The 10592-nt window shown below is 63.1% G+C and overlaps 1 pseudogene; it reads right to left on the reverse strand.

Annotated features, from left to right (window-relative positions):
- LOC101060324 (espin-like) overlaps window positions 1-10118 on the reverse strand; it is a 31605-nt pseudogene extending 21487 nt beyond the window's left edge.
- Window positions 10119-10592: the final 474 nt, after the last annotated feature.

Below are 10592 nucleotides of genomic sequence, written 5' to 3' on the forward strand. Positions count from 1 at the left end.
CCAAGAGGAGAGAAGTGACAGCGGAGTTAGGAGGGAAAGGGGGCCAGGATGAGACTGGGATAGCAGGGGACAGGGAGCGGGCCAGGGAGAGCAGGAGGGGGGAAGTGGAGAAGAGAGGAGGAGCATTTCTGCCCATCTGACCCTGGCTCAGGCTGCTCTGGGGCCCCATGAGGGTGGTCCATCGAGTTCCTGGTTTGGCTGGTGCCCCTGAGGGCTGGGCAGGGCAGGGCCACCAGTGGCTCTAGCCCCCAGCAAGGGCCTCCACCTTGGCACTGGGTTGGGGTAGGGCACCCAGCCCTGGCTGTGCTGGGTGGGGGTGTCTGGGGAAGCCCAGAGTATATTTTTCTCTGCCCTTAGCTTCAGCCCTGCTGCAGACTGTGGAGGGAAGGAGAAGGAGGCTCGGCAGGTGCTGGACATGCTTCCATGGGCTCTGGTCTGCAGGGGCTGGGGCTCCATAGGAACCATAGGGGGACAAGCTCTGCTCTGCACTCCTAGTCAGGGAGATGAAGCTTTGAGGGGTGCCACTAAGCATGATCTCTACCCTGAGTGGCTGGGTGAGGAAGGCACCCCAGCCAGGCTGGGATGGGAGCACCACATCTAGGCACCCTGTCCTGGGCCTTCTAGGTGTCCTGGCAGGGGGACACTGTCCCACCCTACAGAAAAGAAGCCCAGGAATCCTGCGCCAGTCTAGCTCTTAAAAAAGGATGCCTAGGGAAGTCACCGGGGAGGGAGGGGGAAACATGGTGGGTCACAGCTTTGCCCCCATAGCCAGGCTCTGGCTGGCCCAGGGCCCCTGGCAGGAACTGGCTAGGAAGAGTTCCTGGCATATCTAAGAAGGCTTCAGGTCTGTGCTGCTTGGAAAGACAAGAGAAAGACGTGGAGAGAGGAAGAGAGGCTCAGGATAGACAGGGGCAGGGGGAAGGGTGGCCAGCTGCGGGGCCTCTCTGAAGCTGGTTCGACTTCAAGTGTCCCTCCAGTACCAGCTCATCAGAAACACCAGCACCAGCTCATGGGAAACACCAGCGCCAGAGCTGGAAGGCCCTTTCTAGCCCGTGGGAGGCAGGCCCAGAGAGGGGAGGGGACTTGTCCAGGCCACACAGCTAGAGGGTGGGAGGCAGGCCCAGATTGGGGAAGGGACTTGCCCCAGGCTGTGCAGCCCGGTCCTGCTTTGGCAGGACCTCAAGCAACCCAGAGCCCTCTCTTAGGGTCAAGTACTCAATGGGGTAGGGGTGGCCGGAAGACCATGTAGAAGAGGAAGGACCCGGGCAGTGACAGCTGGGGAGGGGGCGGTGTCTAGATTTCCCTCCCCTTTCAGGGCTAGCGCCGCCCCCCACCCCTCAACCTGCCCCTACTCACTGCCGGTGGGCGAGGAGGAGCGGCGCTGCCCGCAGCCAGGGCCAGCGCCCTCGAGGGGCAGAGGCGGGACCAGCGGCGGCGAACTCGCGGCCTCGGGCAGGGGCGGCGGCGGCGGCGGCGGCGGCAGCAGCTGCTGCTCCCTGGACGCCTTGGGGTCCGCGGCGCAGCCATTAGGCACGTGGTTCCCAGGGAGTTCCGCCTGCGGGGATGAAGGTGGGGGCTCACCTCCCAGCTTAGGGAGAGGCTGAGGGGTCTGGGTCACATCTGGCCGGGGGCGCGTGCAGAGCCGCGGTCAGGTGTGGCAGAGCAGTTGGCGCCCACGTAGCATCCGCGACGACTGCGCCGCCTGCGGGGGAGCGGAGGGGCCTTCGAGCGAGCCGCGGGCGGCAGGGCCGAGGCGCGGGCAGCCGGCGGGCGCGGGCTGGCGGGCACGCACCTCCTCGCGGTGCGCCATGCCCGGGCGTGCGACCAGCGTCTCGCCGGGGCAGCGGCCCAGCTGCCGGTAGTAGTCCCCCGTGCTGGGCTGCTTGCTGAAAGCGCGGGGCTTGCGGCTGGAGTCCTGCCTCCGTAGCCCGTCGTGGCCGTCGCAGGAGCTCGGCTGCGGGAAGACAGTGACCGGTGGGGCTCGGGCAACTGCCCGGTAGGCGCCCCCCACGCCTCCCCACCCAGCTCTTCACCTCCTGGGAACTCGCGGCCAGCGGCCGTCGGGGGGTGCAGCAGCCGACTTCCTAGACCCCCTGTTCTCACGGTGGGCAGCGGGCGAGGTTCATGGGGGCCTCGGTGGAAGGGCAGGCTCCGCCCGCCTTACAGGGAGGGGTTCTGGGCACCGGCCAAGGGGCACAGGGTCCCCCACTGAGGCCAGAAGGGGCGGGCCCAGGGGCGGGGTGGCCCAGCCCCGACGCCAGGGGGAGCTAGAGAAGGGGCACCTCCCAGCTTAGCCTTCACTAGGCCCTCGGCCGCACTCCGCTCTCGGCTGTCAGAAGGACTGCGGGTCCCCAGGGCTCCGCGGAGCCCTGTCTTTCGGGGGTCCCGGGCCGGAGGGAGCCCCCTCCAGAGCCTGTGCTCTCCGAGGCTCCGGCTTGCCCCGGACCCCGCTTGTCCGTCTAGGGGCTGCTCCAACCTGCCACGGTGCTGGTGGTCCTGCTGTGCACCTGGCGGCGGGGGCGGCAGGACCCGACACCTGCTTTACGTGATACTTCCTCTCAGGTTACAGACGCCCGCGCACGGCCAGCCTATGGGCTCCGACGGCCTGACATCACCCGGGGCCCGCCAATCCCAGGCCGAACCCCCCCCAGCCGTCGCGGATGCCACGGGGGCGCCAACTACTCTGCCACACCTGGCCGCGGCTCTGCACCCGCCCCGGGCCAGATGTGACCCCGCCCCCTGCGCCTCTCCCTAAGCTGGGAGCTGAGCCCCCACCTTCATCCCCGCCCGAGAGGAGAGAGGGCTGACCGTGGGCAGAGGGGGCCTCTCATATTTGGCTGCCGGCTCCGGGTCGCGTCCCCACCGTTTCCCTCCTGCATCTGGAAACCATCGCCATCCACGAAAGCGACACCGACACCCGCGCTCAAGCCTCGGATTTCAGGGGCCGTAAGGCGGGGTCGGGTGACAGCGCGGCTTCCCGCCCCGTCGCAGCTGCCCCCAACTAGGCCCAGCTCAGTGAGGGAGAGTGAGGCGGCCGGGCCAAAGACTGAGTGACCGGGTGGGGGCTGTCCCCTGCCCCACTCTCCAGCCCATGCGTCCCTGCGGTGGCCTCAGACCCTTCACCCCGCCCGACCTGGCTCACGTTGCAGGAAACGCGACACCGCAGGATTCGTTTTCTGGGCCAGCCCGCCGGCTCCGCGCCCCCTGCAGCCCGGAGGCTCCGACGCCACGACCCTGCTCCCACCTGCGGTCAGGCACCCGCGCGGGAGGCGCCGCGGCGACACAAAGAGCCCTTTGTAGAGCTTCCCGGCCCGGGCCCTGGCGTCTGCGGCCCAGCACGCACACAGCCGGGAGGGACACACACAGCCGGGAGGGGCACACACAGCCGGGAGGGACGCACACAGCCGGGAGGGGCACACACAGCCGGGAGGGACGCACACAGCCGGGAGGGGGCTCGCACAGCCAGGAGGTGACCTCACAGACCTGGCACTTGGGCTCAGCGGTGGAGAGGGGGCACTGGCTGGGCCACCTGTCCTGTGGATTTGGGCGGGGCCCACAGTCTGCGCCGGGAGCTCAACGATTCCAGGGCCCCTGCAGCCCTACCCGCCCGGCCCCCTCTGCCTCCCAGAGATGAAAGGGGAAAGCCACTGTGGGAGCTTGGTCTAAGGTGGCGTGAAGAGGGCAGCTACTGGAGCTGGCCTGCAGGTTTGGTGTCCCTCCCATGCCTCCCTTGCCCACTGGCCTTGTGACCTGAGTCACCTTGTATGAATTGGCCCTGGGGTGGCTTTGCCTTGGGCTTAAGAGAGAACTGCAAGGTCCCAGGCTCCAGCAGGACCCCAGGGAGCTGCCACACCACATCTGGCCACCTGTGACCTCAGGCTGTCCCCTCACCTCTTAGACCATCCTTGCTCTGTTCCTGTGGCCAGAACGCCAGTGTTCCCCAGGGCACCCTGCCGAGGATACCCGCAATTGCTCAGACCAGACCTCTGCCCCAATCCCTGCTCCAGAGCCTCAGCCAGGCGCCTGCAGGCCCCAGACATCCCTAGGCACCTCACACTTCACCTACCCACCCTGCCCTCATCCTCTCCACACAGGCTCGCTTCCCTCCAGGGCTCCCAGCTCAGGCCTGGCCCTTTCCCCCAGGAGCTCAAGCCCTAAACTGGAACCAGCCACAGCTTCACTTCCTCCCAGCCCCTACTGCCGGTGGGCGCCCAGCCCTGCTAGTGCCTGCTCACCTTCCTCCCTCCCTCCTTCCAGCCCTTACCTCTACAGCCATGCCACTGGCACCTTCCACCTGGCAGCCACCTCCCTTGGGTGACACTCTCCGACTGAGCCTGGGGCTGTGGGGGTGGGGGGGCATGCTTGGGGAGGGGCAGTCTCCATGCATTCTCTGTCAACTCCATGACAACCCGGCCACTCTGTGCAAGAGGTGGCACAGGCCCAGTTCCTGGTGAGGAACAGCTGTCTGGACCTGCGTCCTTCACCCCCCAGCTCCCATGGAGGACAGTGACCTGCTCTTACTCTCCTCCCAGTCCAGTGTCCAGCCCTGACCCCTCGTGGGACTCGCCAGGAGCTTTGACTCTTGAATATGCCATGGACCCAGGGACCCCCACCCTGTGCCCACTAGTGAGGCCAGGCCTTTGGCCTGACTGGCCCCCATCAGCCCAGTACCCCTGCTGGGAGGCAGGCAGTGGGTGAGGGCTCACTACCTCCTTCTTGAGGGCCTCTGTCTCCACGTGGCGGAGTTTGTTCTTGGTCTGCATGTAGATGTCAGCTGCCTGTGGTCCCACAGGAGGCTTGGGAGATGGGTAGCTAGGTGGGGGTGGGGGCAGTTGGGTGCCTGGGGGCGGGGGTGGCGGGGGGAAGCTGGGTGGGGGTGGTGGGGGTATGGGCTTCCCAATCGTGCCCCAAGGCAGGCCCAGCTCTGGGTTCAGCATGTCCATGTAGCTCTGTATGTCTGCAGCTCTAGTGCTGGGAAGCCCTGGGGAGGCAGAAGGAAGGGCCAGATTTGGAAGCATGCAGACAGGCTTTCCCCCAAGAATGAGACTCTCCACCACCTGGAAACAACTTGCCGAGGGCCAAGGTGGGCTCCGGGCACCACTTGGTACACCTGTTGTGGCCCCTGGCGTTGCTGGGCTTCCTCTCCCTGGCCCTGCCCTGCCCCAGCCCAGCACTTATTGGGGGAAGACCAGGCACTCCGGTTTGGAGGGGAAGCACTGGAGGCTTTCGTGTGTCTAGAGGGCAGGGTCACCTGGAAGGGGAGGGTCTACTCCTTGGGAGTACAGATGGCCACATCCAATCTTTGCAGGGCACCCTGCCAGGTCTGGAGGCCACCATCTGGTGGCGTGAAGCAGGCATTGCAAGTGGATGGACGCCCATGCTCAGGGCACGGTCAGGGTGTGTGTACACACAAGCCTGCAGTCTGCCGAGGCGATTGTGAATTTGTGTATGTTTGAGTGTGTACGCATTTGTGCACATGCTTCTTTGTATTGATGAATGTGTGTGCATTGCTCTGTGGACATGGTGTGTGTGTGTGTGCATATCTGTAGTATGGAAATAGAGCATTGTGTGCTTGTGTGTAAGGTGGGTGTGTGCAGATATTAGCCTGGCTCTGTATGTGTGTTCATATCTGTATGCTGTGTGTACACATGTACAAGTGTGTGCTTTTGTGTGTGAGTAGCTAAGAATAATGAATGGTGGGCGGCACACGTGGATTTTGTGGGTGGGGAGAGTACATGTGGATGTACATGTATGTCTGTGATGAGCACACACAAGTATGAGTGACATCTGTCTCTCACCAGAAAGGGTGTCGCCTCCCCATGTTTAAAAGCAAGTGATGAGAGTAGTCTTCGATATTGGCTGTGGCAGGCTGGCCCAAGGCCAACCCTCACAGCCCAGCAGTCTGGCTTCAGTCTGCTCTCCCTCCCCCTCTTCCTCCTGGGCACACTCACCACGTGGAGGGTGCTGGCCCTTGATGCTGGAGTGGCTGGAGGAGCAGGAGTCGTAGTTGGAGAGGGTGCTGGTGGGCGAGCTGAGGTCAAAGTTCAGAGGCTGGACCGACACCGTGGTGTTGGGTGAGGACATGCCTGAATCCGGCTGCTTCGCCTCCAGCTCCACGGATGGATCCCGGGAGAGCACGCAGTGCTCCATGCTCTGAAGGGGAGGCAGGGAGGCCATGAAGGCAACTGCACCCCAAGATGCGTTGCTCTCCAGGCCAGGGTCCTACTCAACCATGCCTTTGCCGTGGGATCTTGGCCAAGCCACACCCCTCTCTGGGGTCTCTTCCCCATCGCTAGAGGGTCTTTCAGATTCCTCCGGGTTAAGATTCAAGCCCAGCCCCGCCAGGCAGAGGACCCAGGTTCTTGGGAAACTCCCTCCCCTGGCTCCTCCCTGATTAGGAGGGTGGAGAGATCGACGAGGAGGGGGCCTTGAGCTGCACCCCAGGGGGAGAACTGCCAGGAGATCGGCCTTCTCCCTCACAGATCGGCACAGGCTCCATGGGGAAGGGCACAGCACAGGCCCATCCCTAGTGACCTGGCTGGCAAGCCAGCTCTCCTTGCCAGACCTGGGACCTGGAGCAGACTCCCAACACCAGCCCGGCCTGTCTCCTGATGGGGCCCTTGGGGTAAGGGTAGGGCCTGGATGGCCAGCTGAGCAGTGATGGGCAGCCAGAGCTCAGGCTGCCAGGCTTGCCATTCCCCCGCCCTGCCCGGTCTGTGCGTCTGACCACAGGCCTGTCCCCTCCCGGTGCAGAGGGGGCTGTGGTAGGGGCCCTGCTTACATTGCCCATGCTGCCCCTGCTGCCGGCAAGCCCGCTTGCTCCGCTGCCTCCTGCCCAGGCCTGCTCCTCCTTGCCCCGTGCCCCCTCCCTGCCTAAGAAGTGTCACAGGCACCCTGGGAGAGAGAGGCAGGCCTGGCACCAGGTAACGGCTCAGCGGCCGTGCTCATTGGCCCCGTAATTAGGGGCTCTGCTGGAGTGTTTGCCTTTTCTGGGCCAGCGTCTTCTGTGGCTTGGGTCTGTCCCTGCCTCAGCTGGGCCTGCTTGAGTGAGGGGACCAGGGCACACACACCCCACCCATTCCAGGGGACCAGGCCCTGCTACCTACCGCAGGAGTCAGGGGAGCCATAGGAGGTGGCGTGGGCAGCACCCAAAGGTGCTCTTTACCTGGGCAACAGCAGTGGGTGCTGAGGGCACCAAGCCCTGACCCCTGTAGGCAGCAGATAAGAGGCTGGGCCTCAGCAGGTGTACTGCGCCTGGCCTGAGCCACCCAGCTCTGCAGTCTGGGACTGTGGCTTCAAACTTCCCCTCCCCGACTTACTAGCTATTTCGGGTGAGTCACCTGTGCTTTTTGTGCCTAAGTTTCTTTATCTGCAAATGGGGGTAACAGCACTACTTGCTCTGCTGAGCTCCAGGACATGGCGCCCAGTAAATGCCATACTGTCAAATTTTTTTCTTTTCTTTTTTTTAGACGGAGTTTTGTTCTTGTTGCCCAGGCTGGAGTACAGTGGCATGGTCTTGGCTCAGTGCAACCTCCACCTCCTGAGTTCAAGCAATTCTCCTGCCTCAGCCTCCCAAGTAGTTGGAATTAAAGGCACCCGCCACCACACCCAGCTAATTTTTGTATATTTAGTAGAGATGGGGTTTCATCATGATGACCAGGCTGGTCTCGAACCCTGACTTCAGGTGATCCACCCGCCTCAGCTTCTCAAAGTGCACGCATGAGCCACCACACCCGGCCTGTCAACTTTTTTATTTTATTTTATTTTATTTTTAGACAGAGTCTTGCTCTGTCACCAGGCTGGAGTGCAGTGGCGCGGTCTTGGCTTACTGCAACCTCCGCCTCCTGGGTTCAAGCAATTCTCCTGCCTCAGCCTCCCGAGTAGCTGGGACTACAGGCGTGTGCTACCACACCTGGCTAATTTTTTTTTTTTTGTAGTTTTAGTAGATACGGGGTTTCACCATGTTGGCCAGGATGGTCTTGATCTACTGACCTCGTGATCTGCCCGCCTCGGCCTCCCTAAGTGCTGGGATTACAGGCATGAGCCACCGCGCCTGGCCTGAGCCACTGCACCCAGCCAACTATTTTTTTAATGTACTGTGAAGAGTAACTGAGATTACACCTTTAAGGCACTCGGCAGGGTACCTGCCTAAGTCAGAATCCAATGAATAGTGTTTGCTGTCCTATGACCACTAGCAGCTGCATCCAGACAGGCCCTCAGGTGCCCTGGGCTCTGGTGCCACCCCCCATGGTCCCTCGACAGAGTCACAGGCTCTCTTAACTGATGGGGACCCACCACTGATGCAGAAATGTCCTTCCCTGTGTCCATCCTGGCTTATATACCCTAGTGACAGAGTGCTCACTACCTGCTGGGCCATTCATTCTCTTCCAGAGACTCTTTCTCGGGGGGAAGTTCACCCTCAGGCCCGCCTGCAGCCTCTGGCCTCTGGGCCTTGCTGTGTTCTGCAGCCCCCAGAGCCAGGACCATCCCCCTGTGCTGGCAGGGACGACAGATGGACAGAAGGTGCTCAGGGCACAGACCATCTGCCTTCTTCCCTCCGGGCCTCATTTCACAGCCCCTTCATGGCCAGGCTGCCCCATGGAGTTGGTCCGCATCCTTTTGGGGTTGGCTGTGAGGCCCACTCTCTTCCCTGCCTATTGCCTCAAAGCAGGCATTGTACCAGATGGTGCAGAGCCCTCACTTGGAGACATCCACAGCTGAGTTCAAGTCCCAGTAGGTCACTTCGTGGCTGTCTCACCATAAAAACATAATTTAAAAAGAGTAGCATGGGTTTCCAGTTATGACCCAGCCATGAAGTCAGCTAATATATGGTGCAGGGGCAGAGAGGTGGCTCCTGGTCAGGCCATCAAGGTAGGTTCTCCACTCTACCACTTACTGGTGATGCGATCCTGGTGCCCCGCAGACTCCCTTTACCCATATGTGGAACGGGACACTTACACTCTCTTCTGCAGAGGGTGGCTGTGAGTTATACCCAAGCTAATGTCTATGGGTAGGTGAATGAGCCTGCCTGTTCCCAATGGGGCCTGTCTTGTGATTTCTCCAGCCTTACCCCTTGGGGTGACCCTGTTCTTCCCTGTCCTCTTTCCGTTAACCTTTGTGCCTCTACTCCCTCAGTCCCCAGCAGGCAGTGGTTCTGGGCTGACAGGTCGTGTGGGGTAGCGGGCTTCACGTCTCTGAACCTCAGCTTCCTCCTTGGTAAAAGGGGTGACGACACCCACCACTGGGGTGGAGGGGCGAGAAGAGAGAATGCGACAGGAGCAGCGCAGGGATCGTACCAGGTTCTCCACCGTGCGCAGGTAGTGGGTGCAGTGGCTGTGGCCGTTGAAGTCCGACAGGTCAGCGGCCGTGTACCCGTCGCGGTCGCGGACTTCCAGCTCCGCGCCGTTCACTACCAGGATCTGGCAGCACTGTGGGGGCACGCAGTGAGGACCCGGCCGCGGCCACGAGCTGGGACCCCCGCGCCCGGGCAGGGCCGTGCGGAGAGCGCGGTGCCAGCAGAGGGCGCGCGCCCCCACCCCGGGCCCGCGCTGACCCCTAGCTCCCCGTTCTCGGCGGCGTCGTACAGCGCGGTCCCGCCCCACAGGTCAGCCGAGATCTCCCCGCCGTGCAGCAGCAGCCAGCTAGCTGAGCACCTTGCTGTGGCCGCGGCTCGCCGCGAAGTGCGTGGCGGTGGCGCCGTCTTTGTCCTGCTCCGACAGGCTCACGTCGGTGCAGCTCACCTGGGCGGGAGGGGCGGGGAGAGAGGGGCGGGGGATGGGGGCCAGGCCCCTGCAGGCCCCGCCCACGGTCCTCCGCCCCACTCCTGATGGCCCCGCTCCCTCCACTCCCCGCCCTGCCGGCTCCGCCCCGTCTCCCCTCCGCACCGCCCGGGCCCGGAGCTCACCAACCACACGATGACCGGGCTGTGGCCCATCTGCGCCGCGGCGTGCAGTGGGGTCATGCCGTCGTGGGCGCGGGTCCGCGCCGCATTCCTGCACCAGGTACTGCGTCACCTCCAGGTGGCCCTCCTGGCACGCCAGGTACAGGGGCGTGGCACCGTTCTTGGTTTGGGCATTCACTCCCCTGCGGAGACACAGCGCCCACCGTGGGCTTTCAGCGCCTCACCCCCTCCGAGGCCTCCTTACCCGCCCCCCTCCCCTCCCGGGGAGCCCTGGACGGCAGGGAGAGTGGGCGGGAGAGGGCCCTGTCACCGGCCCGCTGCCGCCCGGGGGGCTCCCCCTGGACTGAGTCCTGAGCCACCCTCCCTCAGAGGCCCCTGAGGGCGTCCCACCCAGCACTGCCCTGCCCTCAGTCCCACTTTTTTTTTTTTTTTTTTTTTTTTTTTTTTGAGAAGAAGTCTAGCTCTGTCGCCCAGGCTGGAGTGCAGTGGCTGGATCTTGGCTCACTGCAATCTCTGCCTCCCGGGTTCAAGCGATTCTTCTGCTTCAGCCTCCTGAGTAGCTGGGATTACAGGCATGCGCCACCACGCCCCGCTAATCTTTTGTATTTTTAGTAGAGACGGGGTTTCACCATGTTGACCAGGCTGGTCTCGAACTCCTGACCTCGTGATCCGCCCGCCTCGGCCTCCCAAA

The sequence above is a fragment of the Homo sapiens genome (assembly GCF_000001405.40).
Source record: "Homo sapiens chromosome 1 unlocalized genomic scaffold, GRCh38.p14 Primary Assembly HSCHR1_CTG9_UNLOCALIZED".
Taxonomy (NCBI): domain Eukaryota; kingdom Metazoa; phylum Chordata; class Mammalia; order Primates; family Hominidae; genus Homo; species Homo sapiens.